This window comes from Homo sapiens, chromosome 12, assembly GCF_000001405.40.
Source record: "Homo sapiens chromosome 12, GRCh38.p14 Primary Assembly".
Taxonomy (NCBI): Eukaryota; Metazoa; Chordata; class Mammalia; order Primates; family Hominidae; genus Homo; species Homo sapiens.
The window spans coordinates 46380857-46396207 of NC_000012.12; the positions used below are offsets into that span (position 1 = coordinate 46380857).

The window sequence follows — 15351 nt, forward strand, 5'->3', positions numbered from 1 at the left end:
AAAGTGCTGGGATTATAGGCATGAGCCACTGTGCCCAGCCAGAAAACATTTTATGGCAATAAACACAATATGCAATTGAAAGTGGCTTAAATAATGACACTATCTCACATAATAAGAAGTATGTAGAGAGCACAGTTCTGGGGTTAATTCTTGGCCCTGATACCTCCCTCCAAGACAAAGAGCTCATTATATTTTCACTTTGCTTTCTTCAACATGCTGGGGATCTCTCCCATCATGGTCACATGTTGGCTGCAGTGGTTTTAGGGGTCATAGGCAGACAGGACCACATCCATTGCAAAAGAAAGGAGCGTCATTTTGTGAGTTAATTTTATTTTGAGAGATAACATTTCCTGGAAATGCTGTTATTGTTGTCTCAGATCCCACTGGCCAGGACTGGAAAACATAGTAATGCCTAAAAAATATATTATATTGTAAATCCATATATTTGCAAGCATCAGTATTTTGTAAATGCATACCTCATTTTTCAGCAAGAAAAAGAAAATTAAGGGGCCCACAGAAACTCAGTCTTAAAAAAATTTAGAAATATGGCTGGGCGCGATGGCTCATGTCTGTAATCCCAGCACTTTGGGAGGTCGAGGCAGGCGGATCACCTGAGGTCAGGAGTTTGAGACCAGCCTGGCCAACATGGTGAAACCCCGTCTCTAGTAAAAATACAAAAATTAGCTGGGTGTGCTGGCAGGCGCCTGTAATCGCAGCTATTTGGGAGGCCAAGGCAGGAGAATTGCTTGAACCTGGGAGGCGGAGGTTGCAGTGAGCCAAGATCGCGTCATTGCACCGCAGCCTGGGCGACAAGAGCAACACTCCGTCTCAAAACAACAACAAAAAATTTAAAAAAATTTAGTTTTACAGATACTTTAGTACAAACATACCCAATTCTGTCAAGACTGAAGAACTTTCCAGGGACCTAGTATCAGAACTCTGTTTCTCCCATCTCCTTCCCAAATAAAAGAGGGGAAATAACGGCTTGACTAATGACCTTCTTGTGATACTTACCTGTTGGCCTTTTCATTTGACCCTGGAATGGTCTATTTTGCTAGGTGTAGTATATGCCAATGAATGTGAAAGAAAACAATGGCAGAGAGATGAAGGATTTATAGACAATGGTTCTTTGGCTAGGTAAACTGACACCTGCTAATTACCAATAAGTGTCTTGGAAAGTGAAATGTGAAAGCAAAATCACAGATACGATTCTCATATACATGCTTAAGGTTATTCAGAATGTGGTAAGGTCACAGCAACAATCAAGAATTAAGCTAAAAAACAAGCTGTGTATATTCTTAGTAAAGAAAATAGAAGTTTTATTGAAGTGCTCCATTGTTTTAAAAAATTAAAAATTTCAGATCCTTACAATTTTCCAAAACAGGATCATTAAAAAATACCTTTATTTTAATACTTGTTAGGGGTCTTCTTGTCTAAAGAGAAATGACAGTGACTGAAAGAAGGTGTGCTACCCAAAGCACTCGTAGGCCACGATGAACCTACATTCCTGGCCTTCAGTCAGTTTCCGGATCTTTCTTTGCCCAGGGCTAAGATACTGAAATAACGATTTATTAAAATTAACACACCTGCAATTCTGGTTCTTAGATGGGAACCATTTAATATATGGGCTTGGTTCTGAGATCTTTACTCAATAAAACTCCCAACTGTTTTGACTGACATCGTTGGCACTTCGTGACTGATTAAGGCACCTGCCTCCGGTTCCATGTCACTTCGTCTTGGGACACGTGGCGCTAATGCCACTTTTCAACCCCCCACCCCATTCAGCGACATTAACCCGGGCGACAGTCCAGGGCTAAACAGTTGCTGAAACAGTTAAATGTGTGTTTTATTGAGGTGAACCACGTACACAACAACCCCCTTTGAGTGAAACAATTTTGTTGTGTAACCATTTGTCACTTCTACATGGATGAGGTCAACGAAATCCTCAAAGTTGCTGTCTCAGGAATAAATTTTGTTCGTGGTTGGGAAAACGAAGTGGAGAATGTTATGGGATAGAGAAAATAGCTTATTTTCTCAGTGGTTAAGTGGGAGTGGGTAAAACACAATTGGCCTTGCATGTGCTTTGTTTAAACGGCGGTGCAGTAATTCTAAATGAGAAGACAAGACGCCCATCGTCACCGTCTTCTCCCTTTGTCTCACATTCCGCCCGGAGATGTGGGGGGTCTCACTCAATGCGGAACGGAGGTGGCGGGGGTGCGGCGCCCCAGAGGCGAAGGCGGAGGCGCCAGGACGCCGCTCCTGGCCTCTCAGGATACCAGCAGGCTACACGCAAGGTCGGGGGCAAGGCCGCGTGGCGGCTTGGAGCCGCGCGAAGGAAGCGAGGGCTGGCGGCCCCAGGGCAAAGGGGTCTGGCGGCGCCAGCCTGGGGCGCTGCAGCGGGCGGGGCGTGCGCAGCGCCGCTCCCCGGAGAGAAAGGAACCTCCGCAATGTCGGGGCCCGGCTGCGACCGGAAAACGGCGGGGGAAGAGAGAAAAGGAGGAGGGAGGGGGAAAAGGAGGTGGGGATACGAAGGAGCGGGGAGGCGGCGGGCGGGGCCTGCGGCGCGCAGCCCCAGTAGATCTCCGGAAATTTTCCACTAACGCTCCGAGCGCCAGAGCCGCCCGGGCGCAGCCCGCCTCTGCGCGCCCGCGACCCACGTGACGGTGATTCATTCGGCACCGCCTCCCCAGCCCGCGCGCGGACTTGGAGCCAAGAGTGGGAGCAGGGGTCGGGGGGAGGAGAAGGTGGAGGAGGAGGCGAAGAGGAGGCGGGGAGGAGGCGGGGAGGAGGGGGGAAGGGTTCGGGGAGAGGGAGGAGGGGAAGCAGAGGGGACGATGAGGTGCGGAGGCGTTGGCAGGTACCTGGGCCCCGCCGCCCGGGTGTGTGGGGGTCGGGTCGGGGGTCCAGCAAAGCCCCATCCAGTCGAGCCTGGGCAAGCTGAGAGGCTGTCGGGTGCGCTCCAGTTACGCTCCCCTGCGTCGTGGAAAACCTAGAGAGCCCTACAGCGTCAGGGCTAATCCCGGGACGCCTCGAGGCCCCGCGGAGTTTTCGCGAACGCGCCGGGCGGTGCAGGGATGTCCTGCTTGGGAGAGTGCAGGGTTGGAAGCGGGCACGCCCTGTTGGCAGCTGCCGGCGCTTGTGTACGTGGCTGCTGACGTGGAGAACTGTAGCTGTGGAAAGCCTGCGCCCCAAGGAGGGACGCGGGGGTGCAGTCGCGGCCCATTATCTGTGCCCGGGAAGTCCTGAAGGCTCTAGGAGCTGTCAGATTAAACCCCCAGACCCACAAGAAAATCCCTGAAGCTTCGGTGAGCGTGGGATTTGGCGTGCAGTTGGTTCCGTATGGTTCCCCATTAAGACTTGGAAGTCGGCTTACCAAGATTTCCTCTTACCCTTCGGCTGTGTTGAGTAGATATTACACAGACACCCCGCCCATGACTCTGCTCTTGCAGGAAAACATTTATTTCAAAAATACTGCAACGGTTTCATCTCTCATGTCCTTTTAGGTTCTTTCTAGTAATTGTGAACTTTTCCTCTCAAGTCATTCCATCAAAGTCTTGGAAGCAAATGAAAAAAACATACTACCCTGAAATAGAGTTCACATCTTTCTTTACCAACTTGCCTTTCCCAGGAAGACATCGTGGTGGGTTTGCAGTTCAGGTTTCCTCACAGCCTCTCCTGGGGGTCTTTTTCCCTCTCTGGTACCTTGAGGCATAGGACAGAAGGGAGCTGCTGAAGTTTCTGGATGTCGCTTATTTTTCACATTTGTTTTAACTTCTTTTGGCCAGAACTGTGTATTGTTTTCGCATAGATTTCTGCAATTAGAATTATTGTAATTAGAAAGAATAATAATCTTCATATAAGGCTTAGGGTACGCACTACTTTAAGGTCTTTGTAAATGTGTGCATATTCATTTCTCTCATCAACTCTGAGGTAGGGGCTATTCTTACCCCATTATTGACCTTTTACAAATGAGGAAACTGATGCTTGGAGAAGTTAGATAACTCGCCCAAGGCCATTCCTTCTCTAAGAGGAGGAACTGGAATTTGACCCCAAACTGTCAGGTAAATCCAATGCTTTGTTCACTATGCAATAGAAATTCTTTATTAATAAATTTAATTGTGTTGAAATATTAAGTTTACATTTTGGTGGGATTTTCCCCCTCGTTTTATTAAAGTGGCCTTCCTGAATTTTATTGTGGAGGGATGTTTAAAGTTAGTTTGGGTAGAAAGCCACACACAATTGTAAAAAGGAAGTCTTATGAAGAAATCATGCATTCCAAGGCAGTGTTACATTTTTCTTAAAGGGTAGATTATTGAAATATTTGACCTAAGAACTCATTTTTTTTCTCAGGAGAAAGGTTTGTCTTCATACACCTTTAGCCCCGAGCAAATGGTGAATCCTCCAGGAGAATGACGATGAGGCTTTTTAGTCTTCAGGGTTCGATAAATATATATCGATTGAAATGTATTCAAAAAGTGAATACCCTTGAAAGGACGATGACATAATGCCAAATGAAAAGGAAATTTCCCAAAGAAACCTAAATAATGGATAGATTTGATAGCAAGATACTACTGGTTTTTTCCTTCTGGAACCTTCTTTTCTGCACTTGAAACCTTCCCTGTCCAGCCAAGACTGGGTTAGAAGCTCCTTTTGTGTGTTCGTGTGGCACCCAAGGTCTGCCCCTGTAGTGGTACTGACCACGGTGTATTCTCGTGGCCTGTTCACCTGGCTGTGCTTCCCAGGAGAGTAAGTGCCTGGAAGAGCAGGCATTCTGTCAGGCTCAACAGAGTGCAACAGCGTGTCCCCAGGGCTCAGGACAGTTGTTTGTCCTAGAGCTATGGGAGTTATTGAGCTAAGCAATACTTGTTAAAAGCATGAGCTTACACAATTGATCAGCCATGTCTTGTTAGGATGTACTGAATTGGAATTTAGCAGAAACTGGGAGAGCAATGTCCCCGTCAGGAAATGTCTGTTCAATCTTGGTCTGTGTATATCCTACTTACCCACATGTTATTTTGCACATAATAGTTTTTTTGATGTTTATTAAGAACAAAAACAGCCTCTTTAAAATTGTGTGTTCAGTTAGCTAACTGTATTTCAGCATCCAATTAATAATCAGAGGTTTAATAACTACAGCCTTAATTCTGGCCTCACAATGATAGAATGATAAAATCATAGGTTTTTTTTTTTTTTTTTTTTTTTTGGCTGAAGGAGATCTTATAACTGCTCTGTCCAATACACAACCACTGGCCACATGGCTATTTGAATGAATTAAAATTAATAAAATTGACAATTAAGTTCTTCAATAGGGCATTTTAATTGCTCAGTAGCCACATGTGACTACTTAAATAAAATTAATTTTATTAATTCATTCAAAAATGGACAGCACTGACAGATAGTTCCATTATTGTAGGAACTGTTATTGGACAGGGCTGATAAGTTACCGAAGGAAAAAAAACAGGTAAAAGAAGATATTTGAGATAGCTTAGCATTAGCATTGTTACATACAAAGAACATTACACTCATATTCAAAGTGTCTGCTGTTAGGTTGGTGCAAAAGTAATTGCGGTTTTTGCCATTACTTTTAATGAGGAAATATTTCGTATATGATAAACAGTTTTCCTTAGCAGTTGTACCTAAATTAATGCACATTTAAACATATTCAGGAGAATGAATGGTTCAAAAGGATTCCTTTTTGCATTCCTTTAAAGTGAATACTCATTCCAGTTGATCCTTTGTGAGTTCTATTTTTTTTTCTGTTTAAACATACTGAAATCAACTTGAGTCACTACACAAGTTTGACATTCATTAGATTTGGCTGTGCTTTTTAAGCTCGCATGATTGAGAAACTAAAATACTCAGTAATGTTGGTAAAGGACAAATGCCAGATAGTTTTGGACAGACCAAATATATATTTAATGACATCACACATGCAATACAGACAGTTCTCAATTTACAAACACTCTTGAGAAGCAGCCATAGGTTAAATATAAAACATACTGGGTGTACCTTCTTTAAAATCCTCTTAAGAACAGTACCACCTGGATATCCATTGTATGAACAAATTAGTATTTAAAAATAATAAAAATAAGTCTTAGAATTAGAGAATGTATAGTTTTGAGCTGTGGAGGCAATAAAGAGGCTGTGTAAAACTCAGGGGGAGTTAGTTGAGGTTATTTCCACAGTAGAGCAGATTTGCTTAAGTAACCCCCTGACAAAAATAGCTTAGTTCCGCCTCCCCGCAGCATGCCTGCCCCTCCCTGCTGTGTGCATTTCCCCCAGTCCTTCAGTCGTTAAAAATTTTCCCATTTCATTTATACTCCAGTTTCAGTTCCGTTGATTCAAAGTTTTGGGACTTAGGACAAGTTTGCTAGCTTCTCTGAGCCTCAGTTTTTTAAACCGTTAAATAGGAATAACAGCATGCTGAGTGCCAAGAATTAAAGAAAAATTTATGTGAAAATATAGATTAGAAAGAAAACTAATATAAATGCAGGGGATTATGATCATAATACTCATAAAACTTCAGTACTCCCTGGGAAGATCCAATGGCCGTCAGTCATGTGCACGTGATCAGAATCTGGGCCATCATATTTTTTTAAGCAAGTTGATGGCCTGAGGGTTCTTGGCCAGGTGGGAGGAGGCTGCTCTGGGATGTTGAAGAGAGATTTTAAAAAGGAGATGGAAGGCTGTGAAAACATAGTTCAAATTGGAGGGAGCTTGGGCAGATACCACCTTTTCTTTTAAGGAATGAATGTAATTGCTTGCATTTTGTCTCTACTTCCTTCCTCTCATTGATTTATTCCGAAGGCTAGAGTTTCTACTTTACATTCTAATTCATCTGACATAGCGTGTTTTTAAAAAACTTAGCATTGCTTGCTTTGATTTTCCAGTTGACTTTTGCTGATGGAGCCTCTCTGAAGGGCAAATTCAAAGTACAGCTGGGTGCTGCAGCACTGGAGTGCGAACTTGTGGCTGTGGTTATGAAGGAGCCTCGTCAGCTATGCCTTTAGCCCCTGGTGAAGCAGTGCCAGTCACACTTTGCCAGTCAAACGGAGAGGCAGCAGTAGTAAGACCAGACCAAATCAAACCAAACCAAGCAAACCACGGGGAATGGAGGTAGGTGAATAGCGCCAAAGAGAATGATGGCTCACAACACTTCTAAGCATGGTGCATATATCAGTTCATTTAAGCCTTATGATGACCCTATGGGGTCAGTACTATTATCGTTATTATCCCCAACTGAGGCACAGAACAACTGTGTGACTAAGCGACTGTACTCAATGTCACACCACTGTTAAGTGATAGAAGTGACATTTTAACTCAGGCAGCTGGATCTGGAGTTTGTCCTCTTAACTACTACATTAGCAATTCTCAAACTTTTGGTCTCAGGACCCCCTTGCAGTCTTAAAAAGTATTGAGGACCACAAAGAGTTTTGTTTATGTGGACTATATGTGTTGATATTTATAGTAGAAATTAAGACTAAAAACTTAAAAGATAGTCAATGTATTTAAAAGTAATAACCAACTCACAATATGCTAATATAAATGACATTTAAAAGTGAAAATAGCTATGTTTCTCCAAGTGCAAAAGGTTGAGAATGGCATCGAAGAATGAAGAATCAAAGAATGGTATCATTTTATAGTTTTGCAAACTTATGCACCATACTGTACCTCTTTTGGTGTGACAGTGGTTAAGAAAAGAGGAAATGAGAGAGACTAAAAGGTACAAGTGAGGGGAACTCAAGACCTGTCTCAGTGAGCCCCTCACACTCTTGTATGAGGAAGAAATGATAACTAAAGAATCGTCTGTAAAGTGTACAGCAGCATCTGGATTTTCATGCCTGGTTTAATCTTCGATAGATTGTCTGGATTCATTCTCTCTCTGTGTGGGTGTGTGTGTGTATGAGCATACACACACATATTTGAGGTTAGGTAAAAAACTTTGTCATAAAATATATGTAAACTGGAAAGGATTTTAGAGATTATCTGACAGTTCTTTTTTTATGGATGAATGCATCTGAGGCCAGACAGGAAAATGACTTATTGCTGGTTGAATTGCTGATTAGTGGCTGGATTGGAGGTAGAACCCAGATCATCTGCCTCTTCATTCTACTCATGTCCTGTCATGGAAATTAGTCAATCCAATTATTATTATTATAGAAGTCTGTTTTCACCAGAAAGTTTGTGAACTGACAACCGTAAAATCTGTGGTAAATTCACAGGCTTCATCAATGACACTATGAAATATTGACCCTCAGCTTCCCAGATTGCAACTCCCCAAGTCTTGGTCTGTTTGCTGTTAGGATTTGTTACAACTTCTTCCTTATTGCCTTTTGTTACACAAGCAGTGCTGAATATGGGCTGGATATTGGAAAGAGGGCAAGAAAATGAGAACCCACAGTTCTGTGACGTGACAACACTGATTGGCCAGTCACTGTTATCTGCAGGATGTGCTTTTCTTAAGGATGAACATATTTTGGTCCACAAGTTTCCAAGACAAGCACATTCCTGCCAACATGATCCTTGGACAAACTGTTCTGGAATTTGAACTTGCTACTGGAAGAGGGTTAAGTCCAGGACACACACACACACACACACACACACACACATTTCAGTGGGGGGCAAGCCATAGTTGGTTATGTTAGCACCTCATTATACAACAGTTTCAAGATAAAGTGATTCCAGATGTGCTCTCAGTAAGTACCTAGTACTTATGTTTTTAACCCATTAGGCTAAAAATCTACTTTCAGAATTTTGGGGAAGCCAGAGTTAGTTAATTAACTAGTCATTCCTAGTTACTTCATAAAGTTGATTCTAAGTCGACTATAATTTGCAGTATGTTTCATGTTAGAGGATACCCATTATAACCATATGAAACATACATATTTATAGACACATATATGTATTTTCACACAGACTTGCCTTTGACAATGATTAGAAGTTCATCTGAAGTACTGGTTTAATGATCATTAGGTTCCTTTGTCCCGGAAATTTCATTTAGAAACATTAGGAAGATATATATCTAAGAAGTAGTATTCTAGTTTCTTCTTATTAATGAAGCTGCAGTGATAGTCATTGTGATTCTGAAGCATAAATTTCATGAGTAAGTCCTGGTTAAAAGGCTCCCTCCCTTGTTTAAAAAACCAAGATTTGAAATTTTTTGCTTTGTAACTTAAATTTACAAAAAAGAGTTAAAGAGAAAAGATGATGAATGTTTTCCTTGATAATTCATATTATTGTTAGGAATATGGAATTTTTGCATCACTTGGCCCTAGAAGGTGGAGAGCTAAAGGTGAACATTTCATTTTGCTTTCAAATATTTTAAATTTGTCTGCAGAAATTATGTTTTCTGCTGAATACAATGGAAGCCTTCTTAGCTGGTCTTACTTGAGAATATTGCATCTTAGTATGCTCTTTTGATTTTATTTTGCTCTACAGTAAATTTTTAAAAATTTAGGTATGATATCTGGCATCAAGGACAACACCATTTATTTGCCAAAGGCTGTAACCTAGGGCATTATACACTAAATGGGAATATTGGCAAACATACTGTTCAGAGGTACCTGTTGTGCTGTAGGGCAGTACCTACAGCAAAGCAGTCTGGGTATGATGGACTCTGGATCCAGACTGTTTGGTTTCATTTCGCTTCTGCTTTTTACTAGCTGTGTGCTTTAATTTCATGAATGTGAAAGATAAATAATAACTCATGAAGATTTAGTTAAGTCTGAACTTGTAAAGGAAGCACTTAGAACCATGCCTGGCATATGTTAAGTACTTCTCAAGTGTTAGCTTAAACAAACAAACAAATCTCAAATTTTGTCTTTGTCATGTCAGAGAGGCTAACATCAAGTGATGGCTGAAGCAGCAAACAGCTAGTTAAATTTAAAAGAAAAATGATCTTTGGGATTAATCCTATCTTGTGAAAAGTTTTCTAGAGCTTCCATCCAGCTGTGGCTAAAGCTAGAGGACAAGAAGGTGAGGAAAGTGTGGCAGAGTGAATGCCATTGATTAAAGAAAGGCCAGGACCTTGCTGTATAACAATTGTTTCTATTATTTCTATTTTGAGAGAAAGACCCTTGATGTTACCCGTCAGCAGGAGATGGATGGTAGTCTTTGTGTGGATTGACAAACATTGGTAGTTTAACAATGTGAAGGGCTTCCTTTGCAGGAAATGAAAAAGTTGTGATTTTCCATAAGTCATTTAGAGAGTCACTATTGAGCCAGCCAGGCTGGGCCCGCTAGTCTATACAATGGTTTTGTGACAATTAGCCTTGTGCTGTTGCAGCATTTCAGACTCATGGAGCGTTTTGCTTAGAAGACCTCTCTTCCTTCTGGCTGACACAGCCCCATCCCAGGGTGCAGGGCCTGATAAGTGGAGTACAGGCTGGATTTCAGCCCTAACCACCCGCTCCCCCCAGGACATGGTACAGTACACAAATGGCACATTGAAGGTGGTAGCCATGAAGACAGGTTTTTGAATTTTACTTTCTGTTCTTCAGCTCAGGAAATATGTTGTTTATTTTTGTTTTTCAGTCATAGTCTACTTCAATAGCTGGAACTGGGGAAGAGATGGTTCAGTATTTTTTGTCATTGAATCCAATGGTTGATTGTTAATTATTACTTAAGATAATCCACAAACATCCTGCTGACAGTCCAAGACTGTTTTCTATCAGAGGTTTTATGAAGCCACTTAATTTAGGGTTAAGGTCCTGCTGAACCTTACAGGAGTCTAAAAGCAAGGAGAAAGGCATCAGAATATCACACCCTTTTAGCTATAAATCATATTTCTGTAATGCTGTTGCTACTTTTTTTCTATGTGCTCTTGCAATTTAAGATGATGCATTTTATTTCCAATGGTTTGCAATCTGTAACTGAAAGACAGAATGCTCGGAAAAGCCTCTGGCTAAAAACCAGTCTATTGACATAGAATCATGTCAGGAGTGGCCCCAGGAGATTTGTGGGTTTTGGCCTGTCTTGTTTCTCATCCAATATTTCTTTTCAGTATTATCACAGTTAAATTCCTCATTGGATATGCAATAGATTAAAATCACATTAAAGTTTGGACTTAAATCAAGCATAGCAAAAAATGATTCTTTGACATTAGCTCCCAAGATTCTTCTATTATGGTTTCAGTGGTCCTGAACTTTGGAAGATGCTGATCAGGTAATAACTGTTCTGTGCCCTACAAGGAGGATGCCACCTGTAAAAAGGCACTGAGAAGTTTTATTGTCTCAAATATATTTATTCTGATTCTTAAGAAAACTTGAAATAACTTGTGTTGTTTTGTTCTTATTTATTTTTGTTTAGAAATCTTTAATTTTCCTTTCCCTGCCCTGAGTCTTTCCCATTCTGAAATGAGTACAAACTGCTTTTTAGCTCACACATAGGCTCTAGAAACAGTTATTTCGATTATTAAATTTTTATCTGACAGTAAGTAACATGCACTTAATACATTATAGTTTATAAAGTACTTTTTCGAATGCATTACACATTTAATATCATGATGTTTTGAGATGGACATTAAAATTTTCTCCTTTTCTGCAACCTGGGAAACTAAAGCTCAGAGATCCGCATACTGTGCTACCCAAAGAATATAGGAAGAGAACCCGACTTTTTACCTTTTATTGATTAAAAAATGAGACGTGTCCTCACAATTTCCATGTGATTAACCAGTCCTAAAATTATAAGACATCCTTTCCTCACTTAATTACATGTAGTGTTGTTGCGGGACTTTTCCTTAGTTCAGCTGAAGATGGGGTTCTTGTCACAGGGCATTGAAAATTTAGGCTCGCAGACAATTTAAAGGGTGACTAAGGCAGGGTTTTATTGGGTGAAAAGGAAGACAAGGGGAAAGGGAGACTATCAGCAAGGCGAAAGAGTGTGCTTCTTGCCCCTGGGCTTCCTGCCTTGCAGATTGAATCCCAGGTTTCACCCAGAAAGAGGAGGGGCCAGGCTCCTCCCTGCAGACTTCTGTGGCTCCACCCCAGTGTGCAGGCCTGTAGGGGTTTTGCCGAGTAGCCTTTCCCACGTGACTGTCTCAGTGTAGTACATGTGATGTGGCCTAAATTGGGAAATACCTAAATTAGTAGCTACCTGTGAATTTGTCCTAACTTAGAGAATCTTTTGAAATGACTTAAAATTCTTTGGGTTTTCAGCTCAGACCACACACACACACACACACACACACACACACACACACACACGAATTAACAACCCTCAAGCAAAATTAATGGTAGTGCATCTGCAGCTTTTCAAAGTAATTGGAGAACCTTGAACCCCAGCTAATTTGACATTTTCACCTTTTCTAACTTTTTTTCAGAGTGTGTTGACATTCAGGTCAATTTTGAGCTGCTTTTAAGAGTACCCAGTGCCTAGTATAGTATAGGCATTTAATGCCTTTCAAATAAATGACTGAATTGTTCACTATATGGGCAAATGACAATTTGTAAATAATATCCCTAAATGCAGAGTACCTAAATGCAATACAAATAGTAGTCACATTATGTTTATTGTTTTAAACTAGAAGGTTTTGGCGTAGTCTGAAATGATATTATAGAAGGAGCAAGAACTTTGGAATCTGAAAAGATCTAGAATTGAATCTTTACCTTAACATTTACTGCTGGTTACTACACCTTCCTTAGGCATTCCACACAACTTCTCTGATCTTCAGTGTCTTCACCTGTAAATTTGGGATTATATTATCTACCTTACAACATCTCTGGGAGGACCATCTAAATTAATATATGCAAGGTACCCTGCACAATGCTTAATTCATAAAATGTGCTCAAAGTTCATGCATTTTTAGAATTTGTGTATACAACTTTGTAGCCAATTAACAGAGCCCCCAAGTAACAGATTGTGTGTTTTCTGATTAACCTTTGTATATAAAAATCCAGCTGTATAATCTGTAGTATAAAAGACCCATGGTGATAGTAGCAGTTCAACATGCCTGTTCTAAACTCTATACAAAGAGTAAAGGGCCAAAAATAGTTAAGATAATTTTGAAGAAGACCAAGGTACAGGTTTTTACATTAATAGATCTCAAGACTTATTATGAAGCCATAGTAATCAAGGAAGGGCAGTGATGGCAAAGGCATAGACATATATGCTGATGGGACAGAAAGGACAGTTAGGAAACAGACCCACACACAGATGGAAACTTGTTATATATAAGAAGTAATATAGAAGAAGAGTTTGATGATTCAGTAATGGATTCTGGTACAACTAGTTATCCATATGGGAAAAAGTAAAATTATATCCCTATATCATGCCTTGTACAAAAATTAATCACAGGTAGGTTGAAGACCTAAATGTGAAAAGTATAATTTTTAAACATCTGAAAGGAAATCTTGTATCACCTTTGAATACCTAAGAATTTCTTAAACAATGTACAAAAACATAAACATTAAAGAAAAAGATGGATAAACTTGACTGTGTTAAAATTAGAAATTTCTGATGTTAAACAATACCTAAAGAAGTGAAAAGTGAGAAAGAGATTTAAACATATAAAAAATTTTATACACACTGTGTATAAAGAACCCCTATAAATCAATGAGGAAAAGACAACCCAATAGAAAAATGGGTAAAGGATATAAACAGGCAGTGGACAGAAAAGAAAACCTGAATGGCCAATAACCATAAACATAGTGATCAGGGAAACACAAAATTAAAACCACCAGAAAGTAGGATTTTACATTCCCCAGAGATCAAGTATTGGTGAGGATGTAGAGCAAATAAATTTTATGCACTGCTCATGGGAGAATTTCACTGACATCACCACTTTGGAAAACAATTTAACAAAATCTAGTACAGTTGAAGATGAGCCTATTGTATCATCTGCACCTCTACTGCTGGATCTAGTCCCTACAGAAAGTCTCCCAGTACCTGCCACGGTTCCTAGTGCCAAGTAAGAGCTCAGTAAATAGATGTTAAAAGAAGGAAGAAAGGATGGAAGGAAGGGAGAAAGGATGATAGCAAGGAGAGAAGGAAGGAAGGAGGGAAGTAAGGAAGAAGGGAGGAAGGAAGGATAGATATAAGAATATTTGTGTCATTGACTTCTTTTTGCTTTGTTTTGGGTGTTGTGGGACTGCTGCTTTCTTGTCTGTATGGTCTCAAACCACCCTAAAGGTTTGTCAACTCCAGTGGAACTTTGGGAATCTCAGACGATTCACCTCTACCTCTCAGATTTTACTATGAATGGCAGTAAGGATTTTCATAACCGATAAATACATTCTGTAAATGCATTTCCTTACAGAATTCACAATGGTACTTCTTTAAATGGTAAGCTCTGATTGCATATTTGAAGTGAATCTATGTAAGGTGTAAAATGAGATGTACTAGTATATTATGGGTAGCATAAAATATTAGTTATTACTGGATCTTTAAAATTCTATTGGCAAAGAAAGATGAGGACTGATGCCCTGAAAAGATAAAATATTATGTTTTTTTCAGGCATATGAGTAATCAAAAAGCATTTCACTGGTTTGTGAAGAAATGGGTATTCTTTTTAAATAGTAAATAGTCATATGCACTAAGCCAATTTTTAAAATAACATATATTCCCTAGAGCATAGAAAACATGGCAGCTCTTCCCATAGCTGGAAGAATGTGTGGTTACCCTGGCAACACCATTTTAGTTCCTGCTTCCAAGTACCACCTGGTGATTTAAAGTCTTAACAGCTGTGCAGCATCTACATTTCCATTGAGGAAATAAAACGCATTCATGCATCATCTAATGCAGAATTTAAGAAGAAACGAGCTTGCAAATTTGGGGAAGGAGGGAAAGAAATAGCACACATGCCAGCAAAGCCGACTGAGGTTTAAAAACCCTAGCTGCAGTCTTGGAAGTATTCCTGAAGCAGCTAAGTCCACTGCATTAAGGATATGGGATTATAGGCCGATTTCCCATCAGAACTCTAATGTACACATAGTCTCAGTAGCCTATGAACATTTTGTTATCCCATACGCAAAATATGTATTTGTAAGTGGAAATTGGCACTCTCCATCCTAACAGGCATTTTAACAAAATGGTTGTGTCCCCATCACTGTGAGAGGTAGAGAAATATAAAGAAAACAGTGTCCTCAGCTTCATGTTTGTTTCTCAGTGCTTCTAATTTCACCCAAAGTTTTGGGACCTTCCTTAGATCTAGTCATATTGAAAAAGCCAGATCCTTCAATAATTTCCAGTAGAATGAGTTTTTAGGTACTTGAGTGCTGTGGGGAGGAATGACATTGCTGGGCTGTAAGGAGGACAAGGGGCTAGGAAATAGTTTTCCTCTCACAAAATAGAAACTAGGAATAAGCAGTTTAAGGTATATAAAATTATTACTTTCCATTTTTCTCTTTGATTATT

The 15351-nt window shown here is 40.3% G+C and overlaps 1 long non-coding RNA gene across 5 annotated transcripts in view, besides 5 other annotated features; it reads left to right on the top strand.

Moving 5' to 3' along the window:
• Positions 2184-2691: an enhancer, noted in NCBI's record as "NANOG-H3K27ac-H3K4me1 hESC enhancer chr12:46776823-46777330 (GRCh37/hg19 assembly coordinates)". NCBI's record gives its function as "activates a minimal SCP1, AML or CMV promoter by ChIP-STARR-seq in naive H9 embryonic stem cells {active_cell/tissue: H9 hESC(naive)}" and the evidence as "EXISTENCE:reporter gene assay evidence [ECO:0000049][PMID:30033119]".
• Positions 2246-2605: a silencer, noted in NCBI's record as "silent region_4386". NCBI's record gives its function as "represses an Ori minimal core promoter by ATAC-STARR-seq in GM12878 lymphoblastoid cells {active_cell/tissue: GM12878}" and the evidence as "EXISTENCE:reporter gene assay evidence [ECO:0000049][PMID:35858748]".
• Positions 2756-2825: a silencer, noted in NCBI's record as "silent region_4387". NCBI's record gives its function as "represses an Ori minimal core promoter by ATAC-STARR-seq in GM12878 lymphoblastoid cells {active_cell/tissue: GM12878}" and the evidence as "EXISTENCE:reporter gene assay evidence [ECO:0000049][PMID:35858748]".
• Positions 2820-15351, top strand: part of SLC38A4-AS1 (SLC38A4 antisense RNA 1) — a 268904-nt gene continuing 256372 nt past the window's right edge. For 3 of the 5 annotated variants that reach the window (NR_125378.1, NR_125379.1, NR_125377.1), the window contains exons 1-2: positions 2820-2857; positions 6891-7116. This is a non-coding gene — a long non-coding RNA (SLC38A4 antisense RNA 1). Of the gene's footprint in view, positions 2858-3250; positions 3306-6890; positions 7117-15351 lie in introns of those variants that run through there. The other 2 variants (NR_125380.1, NR_125381.1) reach the window with 2 other exon arrangements.
• Positions 5385-5886: an enhancer, noted in NCBI's record as "NANOG hESC enhancer chr12:46780024-46780525 (GRCh37/hg19 assembly coordinates)". NCBI's record gives its function as "activates a minimal SCP1, AML or CMV promoter by ChIP-STARR-seq in primed H9 embryonic stem cells {active_cell/tissue: H9 hESC(primed)}" and the evidence as "EXISTENCE:reporter gene assay evidence [ECO:0000049][PMID:30033119]".
• Positions 14419-14920: an enhancer, noted in NCBI's record as "NANOG hESC enhancer chr12:46789058-46789559 (GRCh37/hg19 assembly coordinates)". NCBI's record gives its function as "activates a minimal SCP1, AML or CMV promoter by ChIP-STARR-seq in naive H9 embryonic stem cells {active_cell/tissue: H9 hESC(naive)}" and the evidence as "EXISTENCE:reporter gene assay evidence [ECO:0000049][PMID:30033119]".